The sequence below is a fragment of the Homo sapiens genome, chromosome 12 (genome assembly GCF_000001405.40).
Source record: "Homo sapiens chromosome 12, GRCh38.p14 Primary Assembly".
In the NCBI taxonomy this organism is placed as follows: Eukaryota; Metazoa; Chordata; class Mammalia; order Primates; family Hominidae; genus Homo; species Homo sapiens.
The window spans coordinates 121,729,619-121,753,557 of NC_000012.12; the positions used below are offsets into that span (position 1 = coordinate 121,729,619).

The following is a 23,939-nucleotide window of genomic DNA, read 5'->3' on the forward strand; positions in this document are numbered from 1 at the left end:
AACATAGACCATCTCTACAAGAAAAAAAAAAAAAAGCTGACAGGGTGGCACATGCCTGTAGTTCTAGCTACTCGGGAGGCTGAGGTGGGAGGATCGCTTGAGCCCAGGAGTTTGAGGCTGCAGTGAGCCATGATTGTGCCACTGCACCGCAGCCTGGGCGACAGAGAGCGATCCCGTCTTTTAAAATATAGAAAGCGGGGTTTCAGAAAGATATTTGTACACCCATGCTCACGGCAGCACTATTCACAATAGCCAAAAGATGGAAGCAACCCATCTTCCATCCATCAGTGGAGGCGTGGATAAATAAAATGTGGCTCGTCCATATAGTGGACTACTAGCCTTAAAAAGGAAGGAAATTCTGGCCAGGTGCGGTGGCTCACGCCTGTAATCCCAGCACTTTGGGTGGCTGAGGTGGGCAGATCATGAGGTCAGGAGATCGATACCATCCTGGCCAACATGGTGAAACCCCGTCTCTACTAAAAATACAAAAATTAGCTGGGCGTGGTAGCAGGCGCCTGTAATCCCAGCTACTCAAGAGGCTGAGGAAGGAGAATCCCTGGAACCCAGGAAGCGGAGGTTGCAGTGAGCCAGGATTGGGCCGCTGCACTCCAGCCTGGCAACAGAGTGAGACTCCATCTCAAAAAAAAAAAAAAAGAAGGAAATTCTGATACATGCCATGATACAGGTGAGCCTGGAGCACATTATGCTAAGTGATAAATAAGCCAGTCATTAAAGGACACATACTGGTCTGGGCACGGTGGCTCACACCTGTAATCTCAGCACTTTAGGAGGCAGAGGCGGGCAGATCATGAGGTCAGGAGATCGAGACCATCCTGGCCAATATGGTGAAACCCCTTCTCTACTAAAAAAAAAAATACAAAAATTAGCTGGGCATGATACTGCATGCCTGTAGCCCCAACTACTTGGAAGGCTGAGACAGGAGAGTCACTTCAATCCAGGAGGCGGAGGTTTCAGTGAGCCGAGATCACTCCACTGCACTCCAGCCTGGCGACAGAGCGAGACACAGTCAAAAAAAAAAAAAAAACAAACAAAAAAAAACCGGGCGCGGTGGCTCACACCTGTAATCCCAGCAGTTTGGGAGGCTGAGGCGGGTGGATCACCTGAGGTTGGGAGTTCGAGACCAGCCTGACCAACATGGAGAAATGCCATCTCTACTAAAAATACAAAAATTAGCTGGGCATGGTGGCACATGCCTGTAATCCCAGCTACTCGGGAGGCTGAGGCAGGAGAATCACTTGAACCCAGGAGGCGGAGGTTTCGGTGAGCCGAGATTGCGCCACTGCACTCCAGTCTGGGTAACAAGAGCGAAACTCTGTCTCAAAAAAAAAAAAGAAAAGACACATACTGTATGATTCCACTTACAGGCGGTACCTAGAGTAGTCAAATTCGTAGAGACAGAAGACAGAATAGTGATTGCCAGGGGCTGAGGGGAAGGTGAAATGGGGAATTATTTGATGGGTTCATAGTTTCTGTTTGGCATGGTGAAGTTCTGGAAATGGATTGTGGTATAGTCACACATTGCATACTGATGTGTCTGTCAAAGACAGTGGTCCTATGAGATTATGATGCTATATTTTTACTGTACCTTTTTCTGTGTTTAGATACATTTATTTATTTATTTTATTTTTTTCAGGCGTAGTCTTGCTTTGTCGCCCAGGCTGGAGTGCAGTGGTGCGATCTAGGCTCACTGCAACGTCTGCCTCCCCAGCTCAAGTGATTCTCCTGCCTCAGCCTCCTGAGTAGCTGAGATTACAGGCGGGTGCCACCATGCCTGGCTAATTTTTGTAGTATTTTTAGCAGAGAAGGGGTTTTGCCATACTGGCCAGGCTGGTTTCAAACTCCTGGCCTCAAGTGATCTGCCCTAGGCCCTGTTTAGATACATTTAGATACATGAATACTTACCACTGTGTTACAGTCTGCTACAGTATTGAGTACAGTAGCATGCTGTGTAGGTTTGTAGCCCAGGAGCAATAGTCTATACCATCCAGGTTTCTGTAGGTGTACTCTAACGTTTGCGTAATGACGGCATCGCCTAATAATGCATTTCTTAGAACGATCCTGTTTCTTAAGCGACACATGACTGTACCACAGTATGAGTGTAATGCCATCGCATTGTACAATTAAAATGATTAAGAGGATAAATATTTTGTGTATTTTATCACAATTTAAAACATTTACAAATGGTTAAAAGTTATGTATATTTTACCACAATTAAAAAATGAAAGAGAGGTTCATGCCTGTAATCCCAGTACTTTGGGAGGCCGAGGCAGGCGGATCACCTGAGGTCAGGAGTTTGAGACCAGCCTGGCTAACACGGTGAAATGCTGTCTCTATTAAACATACAAAAATTAGCTGGGCGTGGTGGCGGGCGCCTGTAGCCCCAGCTACTCGGGAGGCTGAAGCAGTAGAATCTCTTGAACCCAAAAGGCAGAGGTTGCAGTGAGCAGAGATCGGGCCATTGCACTCCAGCCTGGGCAGCAGAGCAAGACTCCATCTCAAAAGGAAAGAAAGAGTCTGGAAAAAAGTAAGGATACAAGAAATGAATTGATGACCTTTCCCACTGCTTGTGAGGCTGGCACAAGGGTGGAATCCACGAAGACTGGGCGTGGGCGCAGAATGCCTTGCGGGTGGAGAATGTGTCACACTAAGGTCCTTGTTTGTGGCTCCCCTCACTCCATGTTGTCCTCCTCGTGGCTGGCAAATCCTGAGCCTAGAGCTAAGGCTGGGGGTGGACTAGGTGTGTGTGACCTCCAGTGAGGGATCCCTCCCCTTTACCCCTGAAATGACTCTGGCCAATGACAGAGCGAGAGAATTGCAGGGGAGCAGGAATGACCTCGTGTATCAGGGGACAAAATTATGGGAAGGCCCACGGATTAACCATTCTTATCCAGTCACCATCACCAGTGGAACATTAGAAAAGTACCTGAAAAAAATTAAATGTTTATAGCATGGAGTGTTGCTCAGATGTGGACAGCTGTTATATGCTGTGGGTGGGACTATAAATTGGTATAGCTACTCTGAAGGGCAGTTTGCCAAAACTTACTAAATCTAATAACAAGGCCGGACGCGGTGGCTCACGCCTGTAATCCCAGCACTTTGGGAGGCCGAGGCAGGTGGATCACAAAGTCAGGAGATCCAGACCATCCTGGTTAACATGGTGAAACCCTGTCTCTACTAAAAATACAAAAAATTAGCCGGGCGTGGTGGCACGTGCCTGTAGTCCCAGCTACTTGGGAGGCTGAGGCAGGAGAATCACTTGAACCTGGGAGGCGGAGGTTGCAGTGAGCCGAGGTCGCGCCACTGCACTCCAGCCTGGGCAACAGAGGGAGACTCTGTCTCAAAAAAAAAAAAAAAAAATCTAATAACAAGCCTGTACCCTCTGACCTGCAATTTTACCTCTCTTCCCCAGAGAAATCTTCTCTAGAGACATACTTGCCTGTGTGCCCAGAGAGGCCGTGCAAGGATACTATTCTTTTGCATTGTTGGTTATAGTCAGACACAGGAAGCAACATAAATATCCAGCAATAGGGGAAGGACTAAAGAAACTAGAGTATATCTGTAGCACAAAATATGCATACCACTAAAGAGTGGAGTGTATCCATATATTCTTTTTTTATTTTTGAGAGAGAGAGTCTCGCTCTGTTGCCCAGGCTGGAGTGCCCTGGCATGATCTCGGCTCACTGCAAGCTCCGCCTCCTGGGTTCACACCATTCTCCTGCCTCAGCCTCCCAAGTAGCTGGGACTACAGGCGCCCGCCACCATGCCTGGCTAATTTTTTGTATTTTTAGTAAAGAAGGGGTTTCACCATGTTAGCTAGGATGGGTTTGATCTCCTGACCTCATGATCCGCCCGCCTCGGCCTCCCAAAGTGCTGGGATTATAGGCGTGAGCCACCGTGCCTGGTATTTTTTTTTTTTTTGAGACAGAGTCTCACTCTGTTGCCCAGGCCGGAGTGCAATGGTGTGACCTCGGCTCACTGCAGCCTCTGCCTTGGGTTCAAGCAACTCTCATGCCTCAGCCTCCCAAGTAACTGGGATTACAGGTGTGCACCATCATGCCTGGCTAATTTTTGTATTTTTAGTAGAGATGGGGTTTCGCCATGTAGGCCAGGCTGGTCTCGAACTCTTGACCTCAAGTGATCCGCCCACCTCGGCCTCCCAAAGTGCTAGGATTACAGGTGTGAGCCACTGCACCTGGCCCCATATATTGTTATGTGCGTAGATCTCCAAGACATATTATTGAGTGAGAAAAGCAAGTTATGGAATCTAATGTATATTCTGATACTGTTAATATACTTTTAAAAAACCCAAAGGATGTGTTTAGGGTATAAGCTACGCTGCTGTCACAAAGAGATCTGAAAGTAAAATGCCTGGAATTAAGTAGTTTCTTTGTCACATGACAGTCCAGAGGGCGGCGTGGCCCAGGGTGAGTGGTGTTTTTTATCTACGGTGCATAAAACAACGGCTGCCTGATGCTCGTGGATTCTGTGGGTCAGGAATATAGACAGGGCATAGAGGGAGGCCTGACTGTGCTCTGTGATGTCTGGTGCCTTTTCTGGGAAAACTTGAGTGGCGAGGGGTAACTCACATGGCTGGGGCTGGAATCTTCTGGAGGTTTCTTTCTTTTTCTTTTTTTTTGAGATGGAGTTTTGCTCTTGTTGCCCAGGCTGGAGTGCAATGGCATGATCTTGGCTCACTGCAACCTCTGCCTCCCAGGTTCAAGCAATTCTCCTGCCTCAGCCTCCTGAGTAGCTGGCATTACAGGCATGAACCACCATGCCTGGCTAATTTTGTACTTTTAGTAGAGATGGGGTTTCTCCATGTTGGTCAGGTTGGTCTCGAACTCCCGACCTCAGATGATCCACCCACCTTGGCATCCGAAAGTGCTGGGATTACAGGCGTGAGCCACCACGCCTGGCCATGAAAGTTTCTTTTTCTTTGTTTTTTTAGTTTGCAAAATAAGTTTTATTTTTACTTCTTTTAAAAAATGGACAGGCTGGGCATGGTGGCTCACACCTGTAATCCCAGCACTTTGCGAGGCTGAGATGGGTGGATCACCTGAGGTCAGGAGTTTGAAACCAGCCTGGCCAACATGGCAAAACCCATCTCTACTAAAAATACAAAAATTAGCTGGGCGTGATGGCAGGTGCCTGTAATCCCAGGTACTTTGGAGGCTGAGGCAGGAGAATCACTTGAACCTGGGAGGTGGAGGTTGCAGCGAGCTGAGATAGTGCCATTGCACTCCAGCCTGGGCGACAAGAGCAAAACTACATCTCAAAAAAAGAAAAAAAAAAGGACATTAATATTTAGTATATATGTACATAACTTCACCCAGGCTATTCTGGACATGCTGCCCATGGGTTAGCCCTGCTCTTCAAGGAGCAGTAAAATACAAAAAATTAGCTGGGTGTGGTGGCATGCGCCTGTAGTCCCAGCTACTTGGGAGGCTGAGGCAGGAGAATCACTTGAACCCAGGAGGCAGAGGTTGCAGTGATCCAAGATCGCACCAGTGCACTCTAGCCTGGGCAACAGAGCAAGACTCTGTCTCAAAAAAAAAAAAAAACAAAAAAAAAAACCCAGAAACAAAACCTCCCAACTTAGTGAAAACAAGGCATTCAGTGACAGACCAGCAGCAGAAACTGCTTATTACCAATTTATACTAGTTATTTTATGAAGTCATATCTGTATAAAAACAAACATTAAAGAGAATAAATAGATTTAAATAAAGTTGCAAGCATAATTACAAATAAATACCATATTACCAGATTTTTTTTTTTTTTGAGACAGAGTCTTGCTCTGTTGCCAGGCTGGAGTGCAGTGGCACGATCTCGGCTCACTGCAACCTCCGCGTCCTGGGATCAAGTAATTCTCCTGCCTCAGCCTCCCGAGTAGCTGGGACTACAGGCGCACACCACCATGGGCAGCTAATTTTTGTATTTTTAGTAGAGATAGGGTTTCACAATGTTGGCCAGGATGGCCTCGATCTGTTGACTTTGTGATCCGCCTGCCTTGGCCTCCCAAAATGCTGGGATTACAGGCATGAGCCACCGTGCCCGGCCTTTTTTTTTTTTGAGACCAAGTCTCACTCTGTCGCCCAGGCTGGAGTGCAGTGGCGCATTCTCGGCTCACTGCAACCTCCGCCTCCTGGGTTCAAGTGAGTCTTCTGCCTCAGTCCCCTGAGTAGCTGGGATTACAGGCGCATACCACCACACACGGCTAATTTTTATATTTTTAGTAGAGACGGGGGTTTCACCGTGTTAGTCAGGCTGGTCTTGAACCCCTGACCTCGTGATCCACCCGCATCGGCCTCCCAAAGTGTTGGGATTACAGTGCGCCTGGCCATATTACCAGATTTTAAACAATAATCTATAAAAGTGTTACTACCTAAGGACTTTCACTCAAGAAGAAAAACTACATAGTAACACCAAACTTGCAGGGTGGTGAGTTACTAGATACGTTTTCTCTAAATGGAAGCTTACCTAGCTTCAGCAACATTTCTGGATGAGGCATCAAGTTACTGTTGCACATTTTATTTATTTATTTATTTATTTTTAAGACGGCGTGTCTCGCTCTGTGGCCCAGGCTGGAGTGCAGTGGCGTGGTCTCAGCTCACTGCAACCTCTGCCTCCCAGGTTCACTCCATTCTCCTGCCTCAGCCTCCTGCCACCATGCCTGGCTAATTGTTTGGTGTTTTTTTTTTTTTTGTATTTTTAGTAGAGACGGGGTTTTACCATGTTAGCCAGGATTGTCTCGATCTCCTGACCTTGTGATCCGCCCGCCTTGGCCTCCCAAAGTGCTGGGATTACAGGCGTGAGCCACCGTGCCCGGCCGGTCTCGAACTCTTGACCTCAGGTGATCCGCCTGCCTTGGCCTCCCAAAGTGCTGGGATTACAGGTGTGAGCCACCATGCCCGGCCTTCTTTTTCTTTTTGAGACAGAGTCTCCCTCTGTTGACCAGGCTGGAGCGCAGTGGCACACTCTCAGCACACTGCAACCTCCGCCTCCCGGGTTCAAGCAATCCTCCTGCCTCAGCCTCTGGAGTAGCTGGGATTATAGGCATGCACCACCACACTAATTTTTGTAATTTTAGTAGAGATGAGGTTTCACCATGTTGGCAAGGCTGGTCTCAAACTCCTGACCTCAGGTGATCTGCCCACTTTGGCCTCCCAAAGTGTCGGGATTACAGGTGCGAGCCACTGCACCTGGCCTGGACGTTTCTTTACGTACATGTCTGGAACCTATGCGGGACTGACAGATTTGTCTTAGTTGGGGCTACTGATTGGAGTGACTACCTGGGACTTGTCTCTGTGGTTAAAGCTTCTATATAGCATGGTTGCCTCAGGATAGCTGGACTTTTTGCTCCAAGAGCAACTAGTTCCACTTCCTTAGTTGCTCCAGGAACTTAGGTGGAAGCCACAGGGCCTTCCGTGACTTTTTCTCAGAAGTTATGTAGTGTCAATTCTGCCATATTCTATTGTCAGACTAGTCACAAGCCTACCTAGATTTAAGGAGAGAGAACAGAGGCACTGCCTCTCTATGTGAGGCATAATAAAGAATAGGTGACCCTGTTTTAAAACCATCACAGTGGACGGGACATGGTGGCTTACGTCTGTAAACCCAGACTTTGGGAGGCCGAGGTGGGCGGATTACCCAAGGTCATGAGTTTGATACCAGCCTGGCCAAAATGATGAAACCCTGTTTCTACTAAAAATACAAAAATTAGCTGGGTGTGGTTGCATGCACCCTTAATCTCAGCTACTCGGGAGGCTGAGGCAGGAGAATCACTTGAACCTAGGAGGCGGAGGTTGCAGTAAGCCGAGATTGTGCCACTGCACTCCAGCGTGGGTGACAGAGCAAGACTCTGTCTCAAAAAAAAAAAAGTCACAGTTGGGAAGCTCTGTCCCATGAGGTTGCGTTGGGACTCAGGTTAGTTTGGTTGGGGAGGGGCAATGGCCTCTGCCATTTGCATCATGTGACTTCCATTTCTGGCTTCAAGGTAACTGAGCCCTTTGTTGCATTTCCCAGCCAGGGAAGAGAGGGTGGAGGGCAAGCAGTTCCTAATAAAAAATGTGGTTCAGAACTTGCACAAGTTGCCAGGTGCAGTGTCTCACATCTGTAACCCCAGCACTTTGGGAGGCCAAAGTGGGCGCATCACTTGAGGCCAGGAGTTTGAGACCAGCCTAGTCAACATGGTGAAACCCCATCTCTACTAAAAATACAAAAATTAGTTGGACATGGTGGTGCACGCCTGTAGTCCCAGCTACTTGGGAGGCTGAGGCACAAGAATTACTTGAACCCGGGAGGTGGAGCATACAGTGACCTGAGGTGGAGCCCCTGCACTCTAGCCTGGGTGATAGAGTGAGACCCTGTCTCCACAAAAAAAAAAAAAAAAAGAAAGTCCAGGCACAGTGGCTCACACCTGTAATCTATTCTACTAAAAATCTACTCTACTAAAAATATAAAAATACAAAAATTAGCTGGGCATGGTGGCGCATGCCTGTAATCCCAGCTACTCGGGAGGCTGAGGCAGGAGAATTGCTTGAACCCAGGAGGCAGAGGTTGCAGTGAGCCGAGATTGCGCCACTGGACTCCAGCCTGGCCACAGAGAGAGACTCCATCTCAAAAAAAAAAGCAGACCTCAGCCATAGCTGTGGTGTTTTAATTTTTAACAAGGATGATGTCTTCATGTTTTACTTGTGACATTAAATATTAATTGAAACAGATGAGGGCCTGATGAGCATCTGGCAGCTGATTTTGCAGCCCTGGTCTTATCTCTCCATGGCGGGACCCAGCACCAAAGGCCACCAGGAGGGGTGCGGGCCCCTTATCTCGCAGCAGCCTCTCAGGCCAGGGCCCCGTCTTCCCCAAGGTTGCATCATCTGGGCAGGATCTCTCCACCTCTGTCCTCCTTGTCTGGGTTCATTACCAGCAGGTATTTGTTGGACATACAGGGCTGTTTAGCACTGAATAATTCAAAAGTGATTAAAACACAGCCTTTCTCCACACAGATAACTTATTAATTACCAGTGGAAAGTTGGACGCTACATAGCGCAGAAACTGGATGGGCATCCTGGCTGCCTTTACCAAGCAAAGTTAGCATCGTGGACACGGTGTCCCTACTGGCAGGAGCCACTAATAAGGGCACAACATCCTTTTAGTAGCATGCTGGTCCCCACACATACCCCAAATCATGAGGAAACATCCGCAGACCCCCACTGGGGGACATTCTTCCAGACAACTGGACCGAACTCTTTAAAAACTTAAGTTCGGCCGGGCATGGTGGCTCATGCCTGTAATCCCAGCACTTTGGGAGGCCGAGGTGGGAGGATCATTTGAGGTCAGGAGTTCCAGACCAGCCTGGCCAACATGGTGAAACCCCGTCCATCTCTACTAAAAATACAAAAATTAGCTGGGTATGGTGGCACCTATAATCCCAGCTACTTGGGAGGCTGAGGCAGGAGAATTGCTTGAACCCGGGAGGCAGAGGTTGCAGTGAGCCAAGATCGCACCACTGTACTCTGGCCTGGGCGACAAGAGTCAAACTCTGTCTCAAAAAACAAAAAACAAAAACAAACTTAAATTCACGAAAGACAGAGATTGGGAGATTGTTCTAGATTAAAGGAGAGTAAAGAGATATGAACAGTACCAGAAGGCATGAGACTGAATTGGATCCAAGATCTGGAGGAAAATTGCCATAAAAGAGACAGTTAGCAAAATTTGAATTTGAGTGGTATATGAGGCCATAGCATTGTGTTATATCAACGTTACATTTTCTAGACAATTGACCCTTGAACAAGGTGGGGTTAGGGGTGCCAATCAGTCAAAAAGCCAAATATGTAACTTCTTTTTTTTTTGGAACAGAGTCTCCCTCTGTTACTGAGGCTGGAGTGCAGTGACACGATCTCAGCTAACTACAGCCACCACCTCCTGGGTTCAAGTAATCCTCCCACCTCAGCCTTCCGAGTAGCTGGGACTACAGGCGCCCGCCACCACACCTGGCTAATTTTTGTATTTTTAGTAGAGACGGGTTTCACCATGTTGACCAGGCTGGTCTTGAACTCCTGGCCTCAAGTGATCCACACACCACAGCCTCCCAAAGTGCTGGGATTACAAGTGTGAACCACCCAGCCTGGCCGGAAACTTTTGACTCCTGCAACACTTCTTTTTTTTTTTTTTTTTTTTTTTGAGACAGAGTGCAGTGGTGTGATCTCAGCTCACTGCAATCTCCCCCTCCCGGGTTGAAGCGATTCTCCTGCCTCAGCCTCCTGAGTACCTGGGATTACAGGTGCCCGCCACCATGCCCGGCTAATTTTTGTGTTTTTAGTAGAGATGGGGTTTCACCATGTTGGTCAGCCTGGTCTCAAACTCCTGACCTCAGGTGATCGGCCCATCTTGGCCTCCCAAAGTGTTGGGATTACAGGCGTGAGCCAACGCGCCCGGCGACTCCCACAAAACTTCTATCAGCCTAATGTTGACCAGAGTCTCACTGATAACAGATACAGTTGATTAACACACATTTTATGTATGCATTATACATTGTATTCTTACAATAAAGAAAGCTAGAGAGGCCTGGCACGGTGGCTCATGCTTGTAATCCCAGCACTTTGGGAGGCTGAGGCAGGTGAATCATCTGAGTTTGGGAGTTCGAGACCAGCCTGACCAACATGGAGAAACCCTGTCTCTACTAAAAATACAAAATTAGCCAGGCGTGGTGGTGCATGCCTGTAATCCCAGCTACTCGGGAGGCTGAGGCAGGAGAATCGCTTGAACCCGGGGAGGTGAAGGTTGCAGTGATTCGAGATCATGCCACTGCACTCCAGCCTGGGCAACAAGAGTGAGACTCTGTCTTAAAAAAAAAAACCAAAAAGCTGGAGAAAAGAAAGTGTTATTAAGAAAATCATAAGGAAGAGAAAATATATTTACTCTTCATTAAGTGGAAGTGCACCATTGTAAAGGTCTTCATCCTTTGTGTCTTCACATTGAGGAGTAGCAGGAGGAGGAAGAGGAGGGCTTGGTCTTGCTGTCTCGGGGTGGCAGAGGTGGAAGAAAATCTGTGTATAAGTGGACATGCAGTTGAAACCCGTGTCGTTTAAGGGTCAGTTGCATTTGATAATTGTACTATGGATATTTGAGAGAATATAGCTGTTCTTACTATATACACACTGTACTATTTAGGAGAAAAGAGGTGTGTTGCCTGCAACTGACTCCCAAATGGTTTAGCACTGGAGTGGGCAAATCTTTTTGGTAAAAGGCCAAATAGTAAAAATTTTGAGCTTTATGGGCCATATGGTCTCTGTCACAACTACTTGTTTTGCTGTTAGAGTCCCAGCACAGCCACAGGGAATATTTGAATGGGTGGGTGTGGCTGTGTTCCAATAAAACTTTATTTATGGATACTGCAATGCCAATTTATATAATTTTCACACACCACGAAAGATTCTTGTGATTTTTTTTCAACCCTGCAAAACCCATTTCTGTCTTACTGAGCATACAAAATTAGGTAGCCAGACTTGGCCTGCGGCGGTGGTTTACGAATGCCTGCTTGATAGAGAAAAAGAACACACAGGCAGGCACACATACATGGGGGATAAAGCAAATACAGCATGATGGAACAGCTAGTGAATCTGGTGAAGAATAGAGGCGAGTTCTTTGTATTGTTTTTGTAATTCTGCAAGCTTGAAATTATTATTATTACTATTATTATTATTTTGAGACAGAGTTTCACTCTTGTTGCCCAAGCTGGAGTGCAATGGCGCGATCTCGGCTCACCACAACCTGTGCCTCCCGGGTTCAAGCGATTCTCCTGATTCAGCCTCCTGAATAGCTGGGATTACAGGCATGTGCCATCACGCCTGGCTAATTTTGTGTTGTTAGTAGAGACAGGGTTTCTCCATGTTAGTCAGGCTGGTTTCAAACTTCTGACTTCAGGTGATCCATCTGCCTTGGCCTCCCAAAGTGCTGGGATTACAGGCATGAGCCACTGCGCCTGAAATTATTATTATTATTATTCATTTATTTATTTATTTGAGACGGAGTCTCACTCTGGAGTGCAGTGGCATAATCTCAGCTCACCGCAACCTCCACCTCCTGGGTTCAAGCAATTCTCATGCCTTAGCCTCCCGAGTAGCTGGGATTACAGGCGTGAGCCACCATGCCCAACTTGAAATTATTTTAAAATAAAAACATTAAGTAAAATAAAAGCATTGATTTTTCCTTCCTGGGGGGCCCAGGAAGGAGAGAAGGGAGTCACCCTTTCATCTTCCTAGTGGGTGGGCCAAGGTGACTCACTCACAGCATTCTTGGATGTCTCCTAATTGTCATCTAGTTAATTCTTAGCCTTTGCCTCTTCCTTATTTACTGACTTAACTTCCTTTTTTTTTTTTTGAGATGGAGTCTTGCTCTGTCACCTAGGCTGGAGTGCCGTGGCACGATCTCAGCTCACTGCAACCTCCGACTCCCAGATTCAAACGATTCTCCTGTCTCAGCCTCCAGAGTAGCTGGGACTACAGGCATACGCCACCATGCCCGGCTGATTTTTGTATTTTTAGTAGAGACAGGGTTTCACTATTTTGGTCAGGCTGGTCTCGAACTCCTGACCTCAAATTATCTGCCTGCCTTGGCCTCCCAAAGTGCTGGGATTACAGACGTGAGCCACCGTGCCCGGCCTGACTTAATTTTCATACCTAGGTGCCTTGCTTGGCAGGCAGGGGAGTTTAGCCTCTGTGCTCACTGTTGGACCATCCCCTTTTGCTCTCCCTCTAATAAATCCATCTCTTCAACTGCTAAAAACAAAACAAAACAAAAAAAATCACTTTAAATATGTTTGTTGGCTTATCGTTGCTTTGTTTTTCAATGTTTTTTAATTCCTCAAGACCCATGTTGACCTTGTCTGTATCATTCTAATTTTGGTACATGTGCTGCCAAAGTGAGCAGTGGCTTATTGTTTTTGTTTTTATTTTTATTTTTTGAGACGGAGTTTCATACTTTCGCCCAGGCTGGAGTGAAGTGGCGTGGTCTTAGTTCACTGCAACCTCCGCCCCCTGGGTTCAAGTGATTCTCCTGCCTCAGTCTCCCAAGTAGTTGGGATTACAGACGCCCGCCTGGCTAATTTTTACATTTTTAGTAGAGACGGGGTTTTGCCATGTTGGCCAGGCTGGTCTCGAACTCCTGACCTCTGATCTACCTGCCTCAGCCTCCCAAAGTGCTGGGATTACAGGCGTGAGCCAGCGCGTCCGGCCAGCTTATTGTTTTTAATGTCATGGTCTTCATCTCCCATGCTGGTTTCCCTAGATTGTTGGTGTTTGTCTTAGAAGTCCAGAGATAAGGGGTTGTTTCCCTGCCTGTGGTGGTATTTATTTGGAGGTATGTGATGGTGGCAAAGTCAAGAAGTTACTGTTTTCTGTTCCCCCAGCACTGGGGCGAAGTCTCTTATATTTTTCCTGGCCTTGTGGCCCTGAATGGTTATTTCAGGAATGAGCTATTGAATTCATTGGAGTGACTGTGTCTGGAGTGGGGAGGGTGGCTTTAAGGAAAGGGGTATGTGCTTTTCTTAGTTGACCTAACAGGAACTCTCTTCATTGTCAGGATCAGAAACTCAACTCAAAGTGAACACTAAATAAAGAGTGATTTATTGGCTGGGTGTGGTGAGTCACGCCTGTAATCCCAGCACTTTGGCAGGCCGAAGCGGGCAGGTCACAAGGCCAGGAGTTCGAGACCAGCCTGGCCAATATGGTGAAACCCCATCTCTACTAAAAATACCAAAAAAAAAAAAATTAGCTGGGCGTAGTTGTGGGCACCTGTAGTCCCAGCTACTTGGGAGGCTGAGGCAGGAGAATCGCTTGAACCCAGGAGGCGGAGGTTGCAGTGAGCCAAGATCATGCCACTGCACTCCAGCCTGGGTGACAGAGCGAGACTCTCTCAAAAAAAAAAAGAAAAGAAAATGAGCTGTTCATATTCTCCCACACACCCTCCCCCGGGTCCCCTGTTCTTCAGGAGACGCACAGGATCTACAAGCAGAAGCTGGAGGAGCTGGCTGCGCTGCAGACGCTGTGTAGCAGTTCCATCAGTAAGCAGAAGAAGCACCTCAAGGACTTGAAGCTTACACTCCAGAGGTAGGTGCAGCTGTAGCCCGGGGGCTGCCCTGGTTCTGAGGGACAGAAGTCCAACTCAAAACAGGCTGAAGCAGAGAATGGAAATCTCAGTGGAAAAAGACAGGACTGGGAGTTGCTTCAGGCATCACTGGATCCAGGAGTCAAAGGGTGTTTTGGGGCATGTATTTTTCCCTCTAAATTCTGCCTTCCTCTGGATTGGTGTCACTCTCAGGGTGACTGTCCCCTTCACCAGCAGTGCCAGGCTTATATTCTCCAGCCTTGCTTCCTGCCGGCTGTGCCACCCTGGCTGAAGGAGAGTGTCTCTCTTTTTTTTTTTTTTTTTTTCTTGAAATGGAGTCTTTCACTCTGTTGCCCAGGCTGGAGTGCCATGGCATGATTTCGGCTCACTGCAACCTCTGTCTCCTGGGTTCAAGCGATTCTCCTGCCTCAGCCTCCTGAGTAGCTGTGATTACAGGCATGAGCCACTGTGCCTGGCCGAGAGTTTCTCGTTCCCAGTACTTCAGCCGACATTCTGGGTTCAGTCCTCATTGGCTGGGATTGGTTGAATGCCCATTTGTGAACCAATCACTGAGAAGCTGCTTGGGCAGCGCCATGCCGTGTGCTAAGTCTGTGGCCCTGGGCGGTGGAGGGATGGCCACATGGGTGATGGGAGAAGAAGATAAGTAGTTTCCCGGGTGAAAGTTGGGTGCTGTTATAGGAAGGTGCCCTGCCGGACAAGTAAGCAGGCAGCGTCCTTTTGTGGGTGTGGGGTGCCCTCCCCACTGGGGTTGCTGGTGTAGTGGCCACTAGGCTGCCATCCCTGGTGGAGATGTGCTTGAGCTCATAGCTTAGTTCAGTTCCCAAGGCCTGGATCGTGTTCATTTCCTGACACTCATGGTCTCCAGGTCTGGGAAGTCCCCTCCTGCCTGGTATGTGAAGGGGCCCAGTGGATGCCGTGACCCCATTGTCAGGCAGGGAAACTGAGGCTCCAAGTGACTTGTCCCAGGTCACTTAGCTGGGCCTCCATTTTAGAATCTGGGACTCCTGGTCAACTCTTTCCTTGTGGACAATTTTGGAGGAAGGTCCTGATTATAGCTCTCAGTGTGGCTGGCCATTTTGGAAATGGAGGCCCGCAACTAAGGGGTAGAGAGTGTGGATGGCCCTGTGCAAACACGTCACCAGATGTGGCTTTGGAAAAACACATCTTGGTAATGGCAGGGCTCAGAGTCTAGAGTTTCTTCAGATTCTCAGTGATTGCTTCACAGATGGGCACATGGCGAACCCCAGCACTATTGATGGGTCTTTGTGGGGGCCGTGCAGTGCACTGTGGGATAGTGAGTAGCATCCCTGGCCTCTGCCCACTGATGCCAGTAGCACTCCTGCCCCAGGTGTGTCCACCAAGATCTCTCCAGGCATTGCCAGCTGTCCTCAGTTGAGAAGTGCTGGGTTAGAAGGTTGACCCGTGAGTTAGGGTCTTAGACCAAGGACCCCTGTCATTCTGAGATGTGTCTGCTGACTTGTTTTCTGGTTTTGAGAGTTCCGTGTTACCAAAGAATAACAGACCATGATTGGTCGACTGCTTATGCTTTCAGGTGCCTTTTTGTCTGTCTCTTGGTCATCTGTAGGTTATTCCTTTATTTCTATTTTTTAAAATTATTTTCATTCATTCATTCATTCATTCAGAGATGAAGTCTCGCTCTGTTGCCCAGGCTGGGGTGCAGTGGTGCAATCTCGGCTCACTGCAACCTCTGCCTCCCGGGTTCAAGCAATTCTTCCTGTCTCAGCCTCCCGAGTAGCTGGGATTACAGGTGCCCGCCACCACGCCCAGCTAATTTTTGTACTTTTACTAGAGACAGGGTTTCACCATGTTGGCCAGGCTGGTCTCAAATTCCTGACCTTAAGTGATCATCCTGCCTCGGCCTCCCAAAGTGCTGAGATTACAGGTGTGAGCCACCATGCCTGGCCTTACTTTTTTTGAGATAGTGTCTTGCTCTGTCACCCAGGCTGGAGTGCAGTGGCGCAATCACGGCTCACCACAGCCTTGATCTCCTGGGCTCAAGCGATCCTCCCACCTTAGCCTCATGAATACTAGGACTACATGCATGTACCACCATGCTTGGTTGTTGTTTTTTGTTATTGTTGTTGTTGTTTTTGAGATGGAGTTTTGCTCTGTCACCCAGGCTGGAATGCAGTGGTGCTATCTTGGCTCACTGAACCTCTGCCTCCCGGGTTCAAGTGATTCTCCTGCCTCAGCCTCCCAAGTAGCTGGGATTATAGGGGCCTGCCACCACACCCAGCTGATTTTTATATTTTCAGTAGAGACAGGGTTTTGCCATTTTGGCCAGGCTGGTCTCGAACTCCTGACTTCAGGTGATCTGCCCACTTCAGTTTCCCAAAGTGCTGGGATTACAGGCATGAGCCACCACACCCAGCCCCTGGTTGTTTTCTTAAACCGCCCCCCCACTTTTTTTTTTTTTTGAGACAGAGTTTCGCTCTTGTTGCCCAGGCTGGAGTGCAATGGTGCGATCTTGGCTCACTGCAACCTCTGCCTCCCGGGTTCAAGCGATTCTCCTGCCTCAGCCTCCCGAGTAGCTGGGATTACAGGCATGCACCACCATGCCCAGCTAATTTTGTATTTTTAGTAGAGACGGGGTTTCTCCATATTGGTCATGCTGGTCTTGAACTCCCAACCTCAGGTGATCGGCCCACCTCAGCCTCCCAACGTATTGGGATTACAGGCTTGAGCCACTGCACCCGGCCTTGGTTGTTTTCTTTAATTAATTTTTTATAGAGACGGGGTCTTGCTATGTTAGTCAGGCTGGTCTCAAACTCATGGCCTCAAGTGATCCTCCTGCCCTGGCCTCCCAAAGTGCTGGGATCATAGGCGTATGTGCTGGGACTATAACATCATGCCTGCTAGCTATTTCTTTAGAAAAATGAGAAGAAGGCCGGGCGTGGTGGCTCACGCCGGTAATCCCAACACTTTGGGAGGCCGAGGCAGGCAGATCATGAGGTCAGGAGATCGAGACCATCCTGGCTAACATGGTGAAACCCCATCTCTTCTAAAAATACAAAAAAAAAATTAGCTGGGCGTGGTGGCAGGCACCTGTAATCCCAGCTACTTGGGAGGCTGAGGCAGGAGAATGGCGTGAACCCAGGAGGCGGAGCTTGCAGCGAGCCGAGATGGCGCCACTGCACTCCAGCCTGGGCGACAGAGCAAGACTCTGTCTCAAAAAAAAAAAGAAAAGAAAAGAAAAATGAGAAGAAAAATAGTATTGTCAGTAATTATCCCTTGAGCTCATACTATCAAGTATTATTCTAGATGCTCTATGCTGTACTTACTCATTTAATCCTCACCAGGCTATTGTCTGTGAGGTAGGCTTGAGGTTATCCCGGCTTTTCAGGTATGGAAAATAAGGCAGAGAGGTTTAAGGACTTTCTGAAAGTCACAAGACTACCTGGGAGGCAGCATCACTCCTCCAACCCCGAGAGTTGAGATGGGGAACTGCGGTTGCGAGAGGCACTGGGGTAGAAGGTGGGAGGCTGGGGTAGAAGGCGGGAGGCTGGGGTAGAAGGCGGGAGGCACTGGGGTAGAAGGCGGGAGGCTGGGGTAAAAGGCGGGAGGCTGGGGTAGAAGGCGGGAGGCTGGGGTAGAAGGCGGGAGGCTGGGGTAGAAGGCGGGAGGCTGGGGTAGAAGGCGGGAGGCTGGGGTAGAAGGCGGGAGGCTGGGGTAGAAGGCGGGAGGCTGGGGTAGAAGGCGGGAGGCTGGGGTAGAAGGCGGGAGGCTGGGGTAGAAGGCGGGAGGCTGGGGTAGAAGGCGGGAGGCTGGGGTAGAAGGCGGGAGGCACTGGGGTAGAAGGCGGGAGGCTGGGGTAGAAGGCGGGAGGCTGGGGTAGAAGGCGGGAGGCTGGGGTAGAAGGCGGGAGGCTGGGGTAGAAGGCGGGAGGCTGGGGTAGAAGGCGGGAGGCTGGGGTAGAAGGCGGGAGGCTGGGGTAGAAGGCGGGAGGCTGGGGTAGAAGGCGGGAGGCTGGGGTAGAAGGCGGGAGGCTGGGGTAGAAGGCGGGAGGCTGGGGTAGAAGGCGGGAGGCTGGGGTAGAAGGCGGGAGGCTGGGGTAGAAGGCGGGAGGCTGGGGTAGAAGGTGGGAGGCACTGGGGTAGAAGGTGGGAGGCTGGGGTAGAAGGTGGGAGGCACTGGGGTAGAAGGTGGGAGGCTGGGGTAGAAGGTGGGAGGCACTGGGGTAGAAGGTGGGAGGCTGGGGTAGAAGGTGGGAGGCACTGGGGTAGAAGGTGGGAGGCTGGGGTAGAAGGTGGGAGGCACTGGGGTAGAAGGTGGGAGGCTGGGGTAGAAGGTGGGAGGCACTGGGGTAGAAGGTGGGAGGCTGGGGTAGAAGGTGGGAGGCTGGGGTAGAAGGTGGGAGGCTGGGGTAGAAGGTGGGAGGCACTGGGGTAGAAGGTGGGAGGCTGGGGTAGAAGGTGGGAGGCTGGGGTAGAAGGTAGGAGGCACTGGGGTAGAAGGTGGGAGGCTGGGGCCCGGGGAGTCCATAGCCCTCCTCCCTCTGAGTGACGCCCCTTCCCCTGTGCCTGCATCTCTGTCCGCAGGTGCAAACGCCATGCCAGTCGGGAGGAGGCGGAGCTCGTTCAGCAGATGGCAGCGAACATCAAGGAGCGGCAGGACGTCTTCTTCGACATGGAGGCCTACCTGCCCAAGAAGAACGGGTAGGAGCTGGCAACCTCCCCACCCCTAGCACAGGCCCATGCCCAGGCCTAGCACAGCTGGTCCATATAACTCTCGCCTTCCTGCTGGTGCTCAGATTGAAGGGGAAAGAGGGAAACAAGGGCAGGAGAGATAAGGAGCCTTCCTTACACATTCCTCCATGAGCCCAGGAGGGGACCTTAGCCACACCGTGTGACAGCAGCATTCCTGGGAGGTCCGTTGCAAGGAACCAGCACTCACTGCATGCCTGCTGACACCTGGGGTTAAGAGGGAAACTGTCCTCTCCCAGGAGAACAAACATGCATTGCGTGCCTCCTGCACGCTCAGAGCTGTGCCGGGACCTCCTGTGATGTCACCTGGTTTATCCTCAACAATCTGTGCGTCAGACCAAGAGATGCCCATTTTTACAAGATTCAGAGACATCAGCGAATGTTTGGCCACACCAGGATGTGAACAGCAGACATTCTGACTCCAAAGCCCACGTTCTTTGTATTTTCCCCCTTCAGAGAAGTCCCCGTTCCCTCCCTTAAGTGATGTCATTGCCACCTTGTTCTGGAGAGAGAGAGCTGCTTACAGCCTCATATCATCATGACCTGACTTAACGCTGCTGAGCACAGTCAGTTCACCCTGACCCTGTTTTCCGGATCAGCCTCGCGCTGAGTCAGAGCCGTGCATTAGGAGGAGGGGCTCCTTTCAGGCCTGTAGCGGGTGGGAGGGAGCTGGCTAGCCCTGTTATATTTTAACCCATTCCTCCGAGCTTCTCCTTTTTGACTGTGTTCGAATAGACCCCATGAGTTAAGTGATGATCATTTTCTGCAGAATGAGCAGCAGCCTAGCATTCGTGACCCTCTTACAGTGTCATGCGTGTCTGCCTTCCTGCCCCTCTGTCCCTAGGCCTCTGTGCCTCTTAACCTCAGTTGGGAATCTTTGGATTGCAAACGATAGAAAACCCAACTCAAGGCCGGGCGCGGTGGCTTGTGCCTGTCATCCCAGCACTTCGGGAGGCCGAGGTGGGAGGATCACTTGAGCCCAGGAATTCAAGACCAGCCTGGACAACATTGTGAGACCACATCTCTACAAAACTTTAACAAAATTGGTGTGCTGGTGTGTACCCATAATCCCAGCTACTTTGGCGACTGAGGTGGGAGGACTACTTGAGCCTAGAGGTTCAAGACTGCAGTGACGCTGGGCACAGTGGCTCATGCCTGTAATCCCAGCACTTTGGGAGACGGAGGCAGGTGGATCACTTAAGGTTAGGAGTTCAAGACCAGCCTGGCCAACATGGTGAAACCCCTAAACCTACTAAAAATACAAAAATTAGCTGGCCTGGTGGCACGTGCCTGTAATCCCAGCTACTTGGGAGGCTGAGGCAGCAGAATTGCTTGAACCCAGGAGGTGGAGGTTATAGCGAGTCCTGATCGTGCCACTGCAGTCCAGTCTGGGTGACAGACCGAGACTCTGTCTCAAAAAAAAAAAAAAACAAAAAACACTGCAGTGAGCTATGATCATACCATTGCACTCTAGCCTGGGCAACAGAGTGAGACCCTGTCTCTAAAAATAATAACAATGATAATAATAATAATAATGAAAAATAAAGAAAATTCTTTAAAAATTGACCTAGAGGTTGTACCTTTGCCTCCACCTCATTGGCTATGCTTAGTCACCTGCTCACATCTGGCTGCAAGGCAGGCTTAGAAATACGGTCTCTAGGGTAGCATGGAGGAGAAATCGACTCCTCACACTGTCCTGTCACAGGTTAATGTCCTTTGGTTAGTTGTCATTCTCACTCGATGTGGGGGCCCATTTGCCCGCTGAGCTTAGGCCCCCTATCTTCTAACATCAGTGCTTGGGATGTGCTCATTAAGTGTGTTGAGTTTGAATGTTGTTGATTCGCACCCACCTGCTAAGGATCATGCCCCTCACAGGTGTTTCCTTCCAGGCTCTACTTGAACCTGGTCCTCGGCAATGTGAACGTGACCCTCCTCAGCAACCAGGCCAAGTAAGTGTCCCCCACCCACCACCCAGACCCACACCTCACACCGCCCCCACACCCACACCCACACCCCAAACCCCACACTGAGAACCCACACCCCACATCCACACCCACACCAACACCCCACACCTCAAACCCACACCCACACTCCACACCAACACCCCACCCACACCAACACCAACACCAACACCACACCCACACCCCACACTGCGAACCCACACCCACACCCACACCCACACCCCACACCACACACTCAAAACCCACACCCCATGCCAACACCCCACCCACACCCTACACCCACACCCCATACTCACACCCCACACTCCACACTCACACTCCACACCTTACAGCCACACCTACACCCCACACCCCATACACAACACCCCACACCAACACCACACACCACACTCCACACCCCATACCCACACCCCACACCCACACCACACACCACACCCCACATCCCACACCCACACCCCACACCCCACACCCACACCTCACCCCACACCCCACACTAACACCCCACACCCACACCACACACCCCACACCCACACCCCACACCCCACACCCCATATTCACACCCCACACCCAACACCCACACCCCAAACTGACACCCACTCTCTACACCCATATCACACTCCACACTCACACCCCACACCTACACCCCACACCCACACCCCAAACCCAAACCCACACCCCACACCTTACACCCATACCTATACCCCAAACCCACACCCCACACCTAACACCCCATACCCCACACCCACACCTATACTCACACCCCACACCCAACACCCCACACCCCCATTCACACCCCACACCTAATACCCAACACCCCACACCCCACACCGACACCTATACCCACACCCCACACCCACACCCCATACCCCACACCCACACCACACACCCCACACCCACACCCCACCCCACACCCACACCCCACCCCACACCCCATATTCACATCCCACCCCACTCTCACCCCACACCCTATCCTACACCCCAACCCACACCCCGTCTCACGCTTTTCACCTGGCTCAGAGGCCTCCGGCATTCTGTTCCTTCAGCTCAGGGAAGTTGCATCTAAGCTAGAATTTTTGCATAAATAAAAACCTGGTCACAGGTGAGGCGCTGGCTTTTGGAGTTTCTGACACTCTCCTCCTCTGTAGGTAGAGCACCTGGGAGAGGGTTGGTTCCTTGGTTCCTTCCCTTCCTTCCCTCCCTCCCCTCCCTCCCCTCCCTCCCTTCCTCCAAGTCAGTATGTTGGGTGGACAGGACTTCCCATTTCGCACAAGAAATGGCCCTGCTCTGTTTCACGCCCTATCACACACATAGGGAGATGGGCAGTCCAGTCTACTCTGAGTCTACCCCATTTCCAGACAGCCGCAAACCCTGGCCTTTCAGCAGCAGCAGTTGGTTGAGGGAAGAGGCCCTGTCTCTGCCCCCTGCCTGTCCCCAGCATGGGCCCAGAGCCCCAGACCAGAGTCCAGGGACATGGGCCTTCTGCATACTTGGCCCTCTTCCCCTCATTGGTCACCACTAACCCGTCAAGGCCAGGTCTTTCCTTTAGTGGAATGGGAAGGTCCTTATGGGCCATGGCAGTGGCTGAAGGACAAGGGTCTGATGGGGCTGAGGGCCATGCCCAGGTGCTGGAATAGTCATGGTAAGGGGCACACCCCTGGGCGTGTCTGTCGTGGCAGGTTCGCCTACAAGGACGAATATGAGAAGTTCAAGCTCTACCTGACCATCATCCTGCTCCTGGGTGCCGTGGCATGTCGATTTGTCCTTCACTACAGGTAGTGGGTGTGGCCGTGTGTGCCTGGGCCTGGGCATGCAGACGTCAGGTGGGGGCCGGGAGAGAGGGATCCAGGGGACCCGGAGCCTCTCCTGCTTCTGTGTTGTTTGGCATGATGAGGTGTAGGGGAGAGAGGGGCCATTTCTCATGGGAAATGCCAGTCCTGTCTGCCCCACCTCCATCCAACAAGTATCTGTTAAACGGCTGCTGGAAAGGCCTTGTACTGTACTAGTTAAGAAGGAGTTCATTACCTGGCGCGGTGGCTCACGCCTGTAATCCCAGTACTTTGGGAGGCCGAGGCAGGCAGATCATTTGAGGTCAGGAGTTCAAGACCAGCCTGGCCAACATGGTGAAACCCTGTCTCTACTAAAAATGCAAAAATTAGCCAGGCATGGTGGAGTATGTCTTTAGTCCCAGCTACTCGGAAGGGTGAGACAGGAGAATCGCTTGAACCCAGGAGGCAGAGGTTGCAGTGAGTTGAGATCGCTGCACTCCAGCCTGGGTGACAGAGTCTTGCTCTGTCACCCCAAAAAAAAGGAGTTCACTGTGGTCTATCTGTACAGTGGCATATCATTCAGCTATGAAGAGAAATGAAAAGTTGGGCGTGGTGGCTCACACCTGTAATCCCAGTACAGTACTTTGGGAGGCAGGAGGACTACTCGAGGTCAGGAGTTTGAGCCTATCCTGGGTAACACAGCAAGACCCCCATCTCTACAAAGATAAAAAATAAAATTATTTAGCTGGGTGCAGTGGCTCACACCTGTAATCTCAGCACTTTGGGAGGCTGAGATGGGAGGACTGTTTGAGTCCAGGAGTTTGAGGCTGCAGTGAGCCATGATCACACCACTGCACTTTAGCCTTGGGGACAGAGGGAGACCTGGTCTGAACAAAAGGGAGAGAGAAATGAAGTACTGTCACCAGTACGGAGCCAGGCTGCAGCATGGATGAACCTTGAAAATGTGATGCTGAGTTAAAGAACCAGTCACAAAAAGATACACAGTAGGATTCCATTGCTGAGAACTGCCCAGAACAGGCAAATCTATAGAGACGGGGAGTAGGTGAGTGGTGGCCAGGGGCTGCGGGAGGCAGGAAGGAGGGCATGACTGCTACTGGGTACAAGGTTTTTTTTTAGAGTAATAAGAATGTTCTCCCAGCCTGGGCAACATGGTCAAACCCTGTCTCTACTGAAAATACAAAAATTAGCCAGGCGTGGTGGTGGGTGCCTGTAATCCCAGCTACCCAAGAGGTTGAGGCAGGAGAATCACTTGAACCTGGGAGGCAGAGGTTGCAATGAGCCAAGATTGTGCCACTGCACTCCAGCCTGGACAACAGAGC

General features: G+C 50.3%; 1 protein-coding gene across 1 annotated transcript in view; it reads left to right on the top strand.

Moving 5' to 3' along the window:
• Positions 1 to 23,939, top strand: part of TMEM120B (transmembrane protein 120B) — a 69,317-nt gene that overhangs the window by 16,867 nt on the left and 28,511 nt on the right. Inside the window, exons 2-5 of the mRNA NM_001080825.2 lie at positions 14,011 to 14,129; positions 18,708 to 18,824; positions 20,762 to 20,821; positions 22,510 to 22,605. Coding sequence (NP_001074294.2) covers positions 14,011 to 14,129; positions 18,708 to 18,824; positions 20,762 to 20,821; positions 22,510 to 22,605 — 392 coding nt within the window. The remainder of the gene's footprint in view (positions 1 to 14,010; positions 14,130 to 18,707; positions 18,825 to 20,761; positions 20,822 to 22,509; positions 22,606 to 23,939) is intronic.